This window comes from Homo sapiens, chromosome X (assembly GCF_000001405.40).
Source record: "Homo sapiens chromosome X, GRCh38.p14 Primary Assembly".
Lineage (NCBI taxonomy): Eukaryota > Metazoa > Chordata > Mammalia > Primates > Hominidae > Homo > Homo sapiens.
Window position 1 is genome coordinate 78,188,665 of NC_000023.11, and position 14,065 is coordinate 78,202,729.

Genomic DNA, 14,065 nt, shown 5'->3' on the forward strand with positions numbered 1-14,065 from the left:
CAGACAACCCACAGAGTGGGAGAAAATCTTCATAATCTATACATCTGACAAAGGAATAATAACCAGAATCTACAATTAACTCAAACGAATCAGAAAAAAAACAATCCCATCAAAAAGTGAGCTAAAGACAAGGACAATCCTCAAAAGAAGATATGCAAATGGCCAACCACGTATGAAAAAATGCAGGAGGAAGGGCCAAGATGGCCGAATAGGAACAGCTCCGGTCTACAGCTCCCAGCATGAGCGACGCAGAAGACGGGTGATTTCTGCATTTCCATCTGAGGTACCGGGTTCATCTCACTAGGGAGTGCCAGACAGTGGGCGCAGGACAGTAGGTGCAGCGCACCATGTGCGAGCTGAAGCAGGGCGAGGCATTGCCTCACTCGGGAAGCGCAAGGGGTCAGGGAGTTCCCTTTCCTAGTCAAAGAAAGGGGTGACAGACGGTACCTGGAAAATCGGGTCACTCCCACCCCAATACTGTGCTTTTCTGACGGGCTTAAAGAACGGCACACCAGGAGATTATATCCCGCACATGGCACGGAGGGTCCTAAGCCCATGGAGTCTCACTGATTGCTAGCACAGCAGTCTGAGATCAAACTGCAAGGTGGCAGCAAGGCTGGGGGAGGGGTGCCCACCATTGCCCAGTCTTGCTTAGGTGAACAAAGCAGCCAGGAAGCTCAAACTGGGTGGAGCCCACCACAGCTCAAGGAGGCCTGCCTGCCTCTGTAGGCTCCACCTCTGGGGGCAGGGCACAGACAAACAAAAAGACAGCAGTAATCTCTGCAGACTTAAATGTCCCTGTCTGACAGCTTTGAAGAGAGCAGTGGTTCTCCCAGCATGCAGCTGGAGATCTGAGAACGGGCAGACTGCCTCCTCAAGTGGGTCCCTGACACCTGACCCCCGAGCAGCTTACTGGGAGGCCCCTCCCAGTAGGGGCAGACTGACACCTCACATGGCCGGGTACTCCTCTGAGGCAAAACTTCCAGAGGAAAAATCAGACAGCAGCATTCGCGGTTCACAAAAATCCGCTGTTCTGCAGCCACCGCTGCTGGTACCCAGGCAAACAGGGTCTGGAGTGGACCTCTAGAAAACTCCAACAGACCTGCAGCTGAGGGTCCTGTCTGTTAGAAGGAAAACTAACAAACAGAAAGGACATCCACACCAAAAACCCATCTGTACATCACCATCATCAAAGATCAAAAGTAGATAAAACCACAAAGATGGGGAAAAAACAGAGCAGAAAAACTGGAAACTCTAAAAAGCAGAGTGCCTCTCCTCCTCCAAAGGAACGCAGCTCCTCACCAGAAATGGAACAAATCTGGACAGAGAATGACTTTGATGAGTTGGGAGAAGAAGGCTTCAGAAGATCAAACTACTACGAGCTACAGGAGGAAATTCAAACCAAAGGCAAAGAAGTTGAAAACTTTGAAAAAAATTTAGATGAATGTATAACTAGAATAACCAATACAGAGAAGTGCTTAAAGGAGCTGATGGAGCTGAAAGCCAAGGCTCAAGAACTATGTGAAGAATGCAGAAGCTTCAGGAGCCAATGGGATCAACTGGAAGAAAGGGTATCAGTGATGGAAGATGAAATGAATGAAATGAAGTGAGAAGGGAAGTTTAGAGAAAAAAGAAAAAAAAGGAATGAACAAAGCCTCCAAGAAATATGGGACTATGTGAAAAGATCAAATCTCCGTCTGATTGGTGTACTTGAAAGTGACGGGGAGAATGGAACCAAGTTGGAAAACACTCTGCAGGATATTATCCAGGAGAACTTCCCCAATCTAGCAAGGCAGGCCAACATTCAGATTCAGGAAATACAGAGGACGCCACAAAGATACTCCTCGAGAAAAGCAACTCCAAGACACATAATTGTCAGATTCACCAAAGTTGAAATGAAGGAAAAAATGTTAAGGGCAACCAGAGAGAAAGGTCGGGTTACCCACAAAGGGAAGCCCATCAGACTAACAGCAGATCTCTCGGCAGAAACTCTACAAGCCAGAAGAGAGTGGGGGCCAATATTCAACATTCTTAAAGAAAAGAATTTTCAACCCAGAATTTCATATCCAGCCAAACTAAGCTTCATAAGTGAAGGAGAAATAAAATCCTTTACAGACAAGCAAATGCTGAGAGATTTTGTCACCACCAGGCCTGCCCTAAAAGAGCTCCTGAAGGAAGCACTAAACATAGAAAGCAACAACCAGTACCAGCCACTGCAAAATCATGCCAAATTGTAAAGACCATCAATGCTAGGAAGAAACTGCATCAACTAACGAGCAAAATAACCAGCTAACATCATAATGACAGGATCAAATTCACACATAACAATATTAACTTTAAATGTAAGTGGACTAAATGCTCCAATTAAAAGACACAGACTGGCAAATTGGATAAAGAGTCAAGACCCATCAGTGTGCTGTATTCAGGAAACGCATCTCACGTGCAGAGACACACATAAGCTCAAAATAAAGGGATGGAGGAAGATCTACCAAGCAAATGGAAAACAAAAAAAGGCAGGGGTTGCAAACCTAGTCTCTGATAAAACAGATTTTAAACCAACAAAGATCAAAAGAGACAAGGCCATTAGATAATGGTAAAGGGATCAATTCAACAAGAAGAGCTAATATCCTAAATATATATGCACCCAATACAGGAGCACCCAGATTCATAAAGCAAGTCCTGAGTGACCTACAAAGAGACTTAGACTCCCACACAATAATAATGGGAGACTTTAACACCCCACTGTCAACATTAGACAGATCAATGAGACAGAAAGTTAACAAGGATATCCAGGAATTGAACTCAGCTCTGCACCAAATGGACCTAATAGACATCTACAGAACTCTCCAACCCAAATCAACAGAATGTACATTTTTTCCAGCACCACACCACACCTATTCCAAAATTGACCACATAGTTGGAAGTAAAGCTCTCCTCAGCAAATGAAAAAGAACAGAAATTATAACAAACTGTCTCTCAGACCAGAGTGCAATCAAACTAGAACTCAGGATTAAGAATCTCACTCAAAACCACTCAACTACATGGAAACTGAACAACCTGCTCCTGAATGACTACTGGGTACATAACGAAACGAAGGCAGAAATAAAGATGTTCTTTGAAACCAATAAGAACAAAGACACAACATACCAGAATCTCTGGGACACATTCAAAGCAGTGTGTAGAGGGAAATTTATAGCACTAAATGCCCACAAGAGAAAGCAGGAAAGATCCAAAATTGACACCCTATCATCACAATTGAAAGAACTAGAAAAGCAAGAGCAAACACTTTCAAAAGCTAGCAGAAGGCAAGAAATAACTAAAATCAGAGCAGAACTGAAGGAAACAGAGACACAAAAAACCCTTCAAAAAATTAAGGAATCCAGGAGCTGGTTTTTTGAAAGGATCAACAAAATTGATAGACCGCTAGCAAGACAAATAAAGAAGAAAATAGAGAAGAATCAAATAGATGCAATAAAAAATGATAAAGGGGAAATCACCACCAATCCCACAGAAATACAAACTACCATCAGAGAATACTACAAACACCTCTATGCAACTAAACTAGAAAATCTGGAAGAAATGGATACATTCCTCGACACATACACCCTCCCAAGATTAAACCAGGAAGAAGTTGACTGTCTGAATAGACCAATAACAGGCTCTGAAATTGTGGCAATAATCAATAGCTTACCAACCAAAAAGAGTCTAGGACCAGATGGATTCACAGCCGAATTCTACCAGAGGTACAAGGAGGAACTGGTCCCATTCCTTCTGAAACTATTCTAATGAATAGAAAAAGAGGGAATCCTCCCTAAGTCATTTTATGAGGCCAGCATCATCCTGATACCAAAGCCTGGCAGAGACACAACAAAAAAAGAGAATTTTAGACCAATATCCTTGATGAACATAGACGTAAAAATCCTCAATAAAATACTGGCAAACCGAATCCAGCAGCACATCAAAAAGCTTATCCACCATGATCAAGTGGGCTTCATCCCTGGGATGCAAGGCTGGTTCAATATACGCAAATCAATAAATGTAATCCAGCATATAAACAGAACCAAAGACAAAAACCACATGATTATCTCAATAGATGCAGAAAAGGCCTTTGAAAAAATTCAACAAAACTTCATGCTAAAAACTCTCAATAAATCAGTTATTGATGGGACATATCTCAAAATAATAAGAGCTATCTATGACAAACCCACAGCCAATGTCATACTGAATGGGCAAAAACTGGAAGCATTCCTTTTGAAAACTGCCACAAGACAGGGATGCCCTCTCTCACCACTCCTATTCAACATAGTGTTGGAAGTTCTGGCTGGGGCTATTAGGCAGGAGAAGGAAATAAAGGGTATTCAATTAGGAAAAGAGGAAGTCAAATTGTCCCTGTTTGCAGATGACATGACTGTATATCTAGAAAACCCCATTGTGTCAGCCCAAAATCTCCTTCAGCTGGTAAGCAACTTCAGCAAAGTCTCAGGATACAAAATCAATGTACAAAAATCACAAGCATTCTTATACACCAATAACAGACAAACAGAGAGCCAAATCATGAGTGAACTCCCATTCACAATTGCTTCAAAGAGAATAAAATCCCTAGGAATCCAACTTACAAGGGATGTGAAGGACCTCTTCAAGGAGAACTACAAACCACTGCTCAATGAAATGAAAGAGGATACAAACAAATGGAAGAACATTCCATGCTCATGGGTAGGAAGAATGAAGATCGTGAAAATGGCCACACTGCCCAAGGTAATTTATAGATTCAATGCCATCCCCATGAAGCTACCAATGACTTTCTTCACAGAATTGGAAAAAACTACTTTAAAGTTCATATGGAATCAAAAAGGAGCCCGCATCGCCAAGTCAATCCTAAGCCAAAATAACAAAGCTGGAGGCATCATGCTACCTGACTTCAAACTATACTACAAGGCTACAGTAACCAAAATAGCATGGTAGTGGTACCAAAACAGAGATATAGATCAATGGAAAGAACAGAGCCCCCAGAAATAATGCCGCATATCTACAACTGTCTGATCTTTGACAAACCTGAGAAAAACAAGCAATGGGGAAAGGATTCCCTATTTAATAAATGGTGCTGGTAAAACTGGCTAGCCATATGTAGAAAGCTGAAACTTCATCCCTTCCTTACACCTTATACAAAAATTAATTCAAGATGGATTAAAGGCTTAAACGTTAGACCTAAGACCATAAAAACCCTAGAAGAAAACCTAGGCATTAGCATTCAGGACATAGGCATGGGCAAGGACTTCATGTCTAAAACACAAAAAGCAATGGCAACAAAAGCCAAAATTGACAAATGGGATCTAATTCAACTAAAGAGCTTCTGCACAGCAAAAGAAACTACCATCAGAGTGAACAGGCAACCTACAAAATGGGAGAAAATTTTCGCAACCTACTCATCTGACAAAGGGCTAATATCCAGAATCTACAATGAACTCAAAGAAATTTACAAGAAAAAAACAAACAACCCCATCAAAAAGTGGGCGAAGTAAATGAACAGACACTTCTCAAAAGAAGACATTTATGCAGCCAAAAAACACATGAAAAAATGCTCACCATCACTGGCCATCAGAGAAATGCAAATCAAAACCACAATGAGATACCATCTCACACCAGTTAGAATGGCAATCATTAAAAAGTCAGGAAACAACAGGTGCTGGAGAGGATGTGGAGAAATAGGAACACTTTTACACTGTTGGTGGGAGTGTAAACTAGTTCAACCCTTGTGGAAGTCAGTGTGGTGATTCCTCAGGGATCTAGAACTAGAAATACCATTTGACCCAGCCATCCCATTACTGGGTATATACCCAAAGGATTATAAATCATGCTGCTATAAAGACACATGCACACATATGTTTATTGCAGCACTATTCAGAATAGCAAAGACTTGGAACCAAACCAAATGTCCAACAATGATAGACTGGATTAAGTAAATGTGGCATATATATACCATGGAATACTATGCAGCCATAAAAAATGATGAGTTCATGTCCTTTGTAGGGACATGGATGACATTGGAAATCATCATTCTCAGTAAACTATCGCAAGGACAAAAAACCAAACACCGCATATTCTCACTCATAGGTGGGAATTGAACAATGAGAACACATGGACACAGGAAGGGGAACATCACACTCCAGGGACTGTTGTGGGGTGGGGGGAGTGGGGAGGGATAGCTTTAGGAGATATACCTAATGCTAAATGACAAGTTAATGGGTGCAGCACACCAGCATGGCACATGTGTACATGTATAACTAACCTGCACATTGTGCACATGTACCCTAAAACTTGAAGTATAATAATAATAAAGACATTTTTGAAGAATAAATATACATAAATAAGTCAGGGAAATTCAAAAGTAGAAAAGCCATCAGGAGATTTGTGCTTTCCTAGATATTGAAATTTATAATGCTAGAATAACTAAAACTCTTAGGCGTGGAAATAAGTATACACACAGAGAAATGAAACAGAACCAACGTTCATGAATGGATAAAAATAAAACAGATATTTAATAAATGTGAAATTCCATATCCATGAGGAAAATGTGGGTTATTCAATAAGAGGTATTGGGACAATGAAATTTAACATCTTTAAAAATTAGAAAAGAAAAAATGCTCAACATCACTAAATATCAGGGAAATGCAAATCAAAACCACAATGCAATATCACCTTATTCCTGCAAGAATGGCCATAATCAAACAATCAAAGAACAGTAAACGTTGGCACGGATGCAGTCATCAGGGAACACTTCTACACTGCTGGTGGTAATGTAAAGTGGTACAGCTGCTATGGAAAACAGTGCAGAGATTCCTTAAAAACTAAAAGTAGAACTACCATTTGATCCAGCAATCCCACTACTGGGTATCTACCCAGAGGAAAAGAAGTCATTATACGAAAAAGATGCTTGCACATGCATGTTTATAGCAGCACAATTCACAATTGCAAAATCGTGAAACCAACCCAAATGCCCATCAGTCAATGAGTGGATAAAGAACTGTGGTAGGTATATATATATATATATATATATATATATATATATATATATATATATATATATATATATATATGATGGAATACTACTCAACCGTAAAAAGGAATGAATTAGCACCATTTGCTGTGACCTGGATGAGACTGGAAACTATTATTCTAAGTGAAATTACTCAGGAATGGAAAACCAAACATTGTATGTTCTCACTGTTATGTGGGAACTAAGCTATGAGGATGCAAAGGCATAAGAATGATATGATGGACTTTGGGGACTTGGGTGGAAAGAGTGGGAAGGGCCAAGGGATAAAAGACTACAAATATGGTGCAGTGTATATGGCTTAGGTGATGTACGCACCAAAATCTCACAAATCACCACTAAAAAATTTACTCATGTCACCAAATACCACCTGTACCACAACAACTTATGTAAAAATAAAATTTAAGAAACAAAAACAATAAAATAATAGCCATTTTGACTGGTGTGAGATGGTATCTCATTGTGGTTTGATTTGCATTTAATGATCAGTTTTATTTATTTTATAACTAGCAGCTAAAATTTTTAAGTCTAAGCATTACAATATGTAACCTTCTATATTGGATAGGGGGATGGGAAGGTGTAACGTGATGAAAAGCTATTTGTAAAATTGTCTTTTGTATGAATTTGCATGGTGGTATTTGTCTGGTATTATGCACTTTATAAAAATTATTATTTTTAATTGAAAATATTATTTCCGATACCTCTGGTCACCCTGAGTGGCCTGTGCTTGGAAGTATCAATCTTTTTACCTTTTTTTGGAGGACATTTTAGAGTCTGTAGCCTGAAGGAGTTTCTTAAGGTGGTAGAACACACCTAGGTACTTGTGACTGTTTGCTCAGGAAGGCATTTGTTTGGGAGCAGTCACTCTATTCATTGTAGCAGATAGGTGCCCACCCCAGGAAAATTTTTCTTGGTGACTGAATGAATAAATTTCATGATTCATGGTTTCTTTGAGGCTTTTCATATCTATATTATTTAAAATAAACTAGTTGAAGGGAAGTCTGCACTATTACAGTGTGAAGAATGCGCAATGGTAAAATAGTAAAATTTCATTTCTTAAAGCTGGATTAATTTGGTATGCAAATAAAGTGTAATGAATTATTAAATCACTATCTTGCATGCACATAAAATGGGTTAAAGTTATCCAAATTTCAATTGTGCTTCTCTTTTTTTGTCAGTTGAATATATACGATTAGCACTGCTTACTTAGCTTTTAAATATGTGTGAGATCCATTGTAAACAAAGATTATCTTCACAGTGGTGATGGAGTTACATTTACCCTAGTTGATCTACAACCATCCATGGCCTAGTTTTTAAGGTAAGAACTTCATTCTAAACAAAGTACACCACCCCATATCCCCCAGACTCTCCAGTCTGTATCAGTTACTACTTATAATTCCTTCAGTCTGCCTTACTATTTGCCAACAAAGTGACCTTGCCTTCAAGCTTCAAAATAGCCTCCTCAATATCTAGCATTAGTTCATTTTCTTTCATTTGGAACAGGTAAGAGTGCTTTGAGAATCATTATTTGCAGGGACTCAACTTTGCTCTATTAGAAAATTTTTATTAGTAAATTTCTTATACTTAGCTCATAGGAAATATGTCTGAAACCCAAGTTTGCAATTTATCATGTATGTTAGGATAAATATTTGAAAGTTTACAATTGTCATTACATTTTTAGAGTAACAACCATAAGAGGCTCAGAACACACAATTGTGTTTGAAGTGGTTAGTTTCATAACCCCAAGTTGCAAACCGTACCCTCCACTTGCACCCAGACTCGTTAACAGATCCAAGAGCAGCCTGAATTAAAAAAAAAAAAAAAGAAGTATGCTGTAATAGCAAAAAAAAAAAAAAAAAAAAGAGTATATGCAGAGGCAAAAAAATTTTTACTTATATTGCTGCCATTAAATATCCTCATCCTTCCCCCCCAAAAAAAGAAAAGGTTTTTTTTCTCTCTTGAGGTTCACAGATTAGACAGAAATTTTTTGTGGGAATTATGCAAGAGTTGAAAGACCAAACAATTAAGATGGTATGTGAGAAAAATCTTGTCTGTGGTAGAATTAACTAAGTAATAAAAATAAATATAGAAAACAATAGGGTACAGAGTGAATTAGGTTAGGGAATGAATTGGAAAAAAATCTGAAGTCAATTCTTTGTTTTGGCCACCAGATGATAATAGCAGGCCGAAGAGTAAGGGTGGAGGACTATGTGCAGGGTACAAGCCAGAACTCGGGAAATACCTACATTGATTGCCTTATTTGTTTTATTTCTAAATGCCCTTCCTTAGAAGAAAAACTTACCTTTGCAACTTCAGGGGAGGCAGGTGGATGGCAAAGGAAAGATACTGTACATTCCACACAATCGCAGAACAAGCAAATCACAGAATAGATGCTCAATATATGATAACATAATAAACATTTACAAAATAACTTCATGTGGTTATAGTAAGGATTAAATGAGCTAATGCATGAATAATGTTTAGAACAGTACCTAGCATGTCATAAGAGAGCAATATATGTTATTATTATTACTACTGCTACTATTTTTATTATTTGCTTTCTTTGATTAAAACTCCTGCAATACTCTCAGAAGTCATGTGTAAATAAAATAAGCATGCATCCATCCCTATGAGTTATAAAGATGAAATTTGACTGCCCAACCTAATTAGAGATTGTCTTATTGTAGATGTCCAGCTTTAAACTGGTCTAGACAGTTTAAACTGGTGTCCTGGTATCTAGTCATCTAGACACCACTGTTGCAACACAGTATATTGCTAATTATTCACAAATGTTGATTCATCCCAAGAGATATACCAAATGGTCTTCTTGTCCTCAGTACTGTATGCAACAACTATGTCTGAATTTTACCCTCAGATATGAAGCTCTGTTTTGTGTTTCATCTTGTGGGGTTTTTTTCAGGACAGAGAAGGAGTTGATCTTTCTATGTTAATGCACCCATTTTATTTTATTTTAAGTTCTGGGGTACATGTGCAGGATGTGCAGATTTGTTACATAGGTAAACACGTGCCATGGTGGTTTGTTGCACCTATCAACCCATCACCTATGTATTAAGCACCGCATGCATTAGCTATTTTTCCTGATGCTCTCCACCCCACCCCACCCTCTCTCTCCCAACAGGCCCCAGTGCGTCTTGTTCCCCTCCCTGTGTCCATGTGTTCTCATTGTTCAGCTCCCATTTATAAATGAGAACATGCATGTTTGGTTGTCTGTTCCTGCGTTAGTTTGCTGAGGATAATGGCTTCCAACTTCATCCATGTCCCTGCAAAGGACATGATCTCATTCCTTTTTATGGCTGCATAGTATTCCATGGAATGCACCCATTTTCTATTTATTTATTTATTTATTTAAGACAGGGTCTCACTCTGTCACTTAGGCTGGAGTGCAGTGGTATGATGTCAGCTCACTGCAACCTCCATCCCCAGGGTTCAAGTGATCCTCCCACCTCAGCCTCCATAGTAGCTGGGACCACAGGCACACACCACCACACCCGGCTAATTTTTCATATTTTTAGTAGAGACAGGCTCTCACCATGTTACCCAGGCTGGTCTCAAACTCCTGAGCTCAAGCAACTCACCCACCTTGGCCTCCCACAGTGCTGGGATTACAGGCATGAACCACTGCACCTGGCTAATGCACCCATTTTCAATGACCTTATTATGTTAAATTTTACTTGGGTGGGGAATGATCTGGTCCTATTAATGGATATTAAATTTCATCTAAATGTCCATTGATCCAATTGTACTCTTCTCCTTGAACACTTTGAGACCCCCATAATTAGTGAGTCCAAATATCATTCAGAAAGATAATAATTTTTCATAGAGTAATAGAAAAGGAAGTCATTAAAGAATTATTTCTAGATTATATTGGTTCAAGTTTACCCTGGGGAGACCCTTACCATCAAGTCTGATGATGAGAATATTCAGAATATTCAAGATCAGTTAAAGCATAATTAGGCATGTGTTATTTGATACCAAATAGAGTGAACTTAAATATTAGTGTGAAATGACTTTACTGTAGCCCACTTACTGTTTGAGACAGATTAAATGCTCTTAAATATAATCCTCATAGGAGGTTAGCATCAATAGAATAACCAGGGCTAATCATGCTAATCTTACTAGAGACCTACAAAAGTAAAGTACTTTTAAAAATTGAAGGAGATTAATTCCAAAATTCTATTTGAAGTCCAGATTTTGGAGATAGTGATAGCTGATTATAGTTTTAGATTATTCTCCTATAGGAGATGACTGCTAAGGCCTTCAGACAGCTCATTCATTCATACATTCAACAAGTATTTACTCAGTGTCTAGCATGTACCAGCCCTCTACTGGACACTTAGGATACAACAATATGTAGAAGGGGTGATTATACAGACACCCCCCCCCCCCACACACACACTCTATAGATAGGTAGACAGCAAATATATAGCATATAGACTTGTTTCAGTAGTAATATAAAATAAATACTTGCTTCATATAAGCTTTATTATTATTTCAATGAGATGACTGTTTTATGCCAATTATTTTGTATCCTAAAGGGATTTTGAGCTGTCTCAAGAATTTCTAAAAACATTATCACCTAGCAATGGATTTCATATTGCTGCTATACAAAATTTGTCATGAATTCATATTTATTATTTTCCCATTATTAAAAGTAAATTACCATTCTAGGACTTGAAAGCCACATTTCTAGAACTAAGCATTAGTTATAATAATTTCAGATAAACAAAAGAATTACAACATTAAAAGTCTCCATTCTGTGTTGTATTTTAGATACTATGCAATCATATGTTTAAGATAATAAAAATACATAGTATGAAAGTAGGGCATCACATGAGTATTATTGGGTCCTTCTTTATAATATACTGTTTTCTAAAAACCACTTTAGTATAATTTATGGAAAGCCTTAAATGAAAATTTAAGTTTTATTAGGCAATGTCACTATAAGAAATATATTTTATGTTCCAGAATAAACTTTTTATTACCCAATATATGACCATGATGGGTGAGAAACAATAGATAAGTAAAGGTACAATTATACCAGAAGGCTGGTATGATAGTTGATTTTCCTTAGCAGTAGGAATTACCAATATTTTTTATAATTTAAATTTAAACCATGCCTTGGTTATTTTCCCATTGGTTGTGATGAATTTTCATCAACTCATCTACACTCTGACTCATGTTTGTGAGTTAACAACACATATTTTCAAAATAGCTGACTATTATTAAAGCTTGGAGCTGGTTTTGACTGTGCAAAGTTAACTGACTCCTGTAAAGGACTTTGTTTAATGTTATTACAGTATTTATTAAAATAATTCTCTTTTAGGATCAGCTGATGTACCTCTGATGTCACCACCTGGTACTTTGCCATCAGTCTATCTTCTTCCTGGCTACGTCTCAGATATGCTAGTGTGGTTTTTACTTGATGTTTAGCTCTAAGTTATCATTTAACATTTTTCATTATGTCACTATATCAGAACTTCTGGCATGTTATTTATTTATTTATTTTACTGTTATCATCATTGCTAAAAGCTATTGCATTTAACCAAAGCTTTAAAACCAGTCCTCTTTTAGATTGCCTTATAAACGATGTTTAATTCATCCAGCGAATTTGGATCTCTTAATATTCACTAATCTTTTTTTTTTTGGTTTCTCAGTACTTTCACCCATCTTATCTATTAAAATTGTTACACTAATGTCTTCTGATAACGTGTGTGCTTTAGTTCCTAAAATTACTTTGCATTTTCAGTTCAGAAGTATTTCATTCCTAGACTACTAGGGGCACTTTTAAGAAATTCCTTAAATATTTGTAAAGTGCCTAAAATGAGCAGGAAGTTATGACTCCTATAAAGACGAATAAGATATTCCATAGCCTAGGAAATTTTTATAATTGAAAATATGACTTTTTCTGCTTCTTCATAGTGTTTGCCTTAGTGGCTTATTTCGTTGTGTTTATTGCACAGCTGTGGAGATGAATAACATACTAAATAAATAAAGTTAATGTGGTTGAATTCTTAATGGAATTATCTATTGGGCAATATCTAATGAAAATACGAATGCATAATTCTTTCACCCACCAATTCCACTTTAAGAAATTTATCCTACAGATATATTTTCACAAATTTGGAATGAAAAATATACAAGATTATTCATTACAATACTGTTTATAACCACAAAAGTCTGGAAACAGCCCACATGCTTGTCAACGGGTGACTGTATAGTACATTCACATTAGGGAGCTCTCTTCGACTATGCAAAAAAAAAATAATAGAGAAGCTCTGTCTGCTTATACAGAGAGGCCTTCAAGATTAATGCTGAGTTCAAGTTACAAAATCATACAATTCTACCTTTTATGTAATAAAAAAAGAAAAATAAGAATATGCATTCTTGCTTGTATAGGCAGAAAGAAATTCTGGAAGGATTCATAAGAAAGTAAGAACAGTAGTTATCTGTTGGGAAGGTATTGAACAGATAGGGTTAGGAGGGAAACTTTTTTTTTTTTTTTTTTTTTTTTTTAAGACAGAGTCTTGTTCTGTCGCCCAGGCTGGAGTGCAGTGGTGCGATCTCAGCTCACTGCAAACTCCGCCTCTCAGGTTCAAGCGATTCTCCTGCCTCAGCCTCCCGAGTAGCTGGGATTACAGGCGCCCGCCATCACGCCCAGCTAATTTTTGTATTTTTTTTTTAGTAGAGAGGGGGTTTCACCATGTTGGCCAGGTTGGTCTCAAACTCCTTACCTTAGGTGATCCGCCCACCTCGGCCTCCCAAAGTGCTAGGATTACAGGCGTGAGCCATGGCACCCTGCCGGGAAACTTTTAATCATACACTTATTTATACTTTATGGTTTTGAACCATGTCAATATATTATCTATTGTCAAAAAATAACCTCTTTTCTGTAGCCCCAGTTACTCGGGAGGCTGAGGCAGGAGAATGGCGTGAACCTGGGAGGCGGAGCTTGCAGTGAGCTGACATTGCGCCACTGCACTCCAGCCTGGGTGA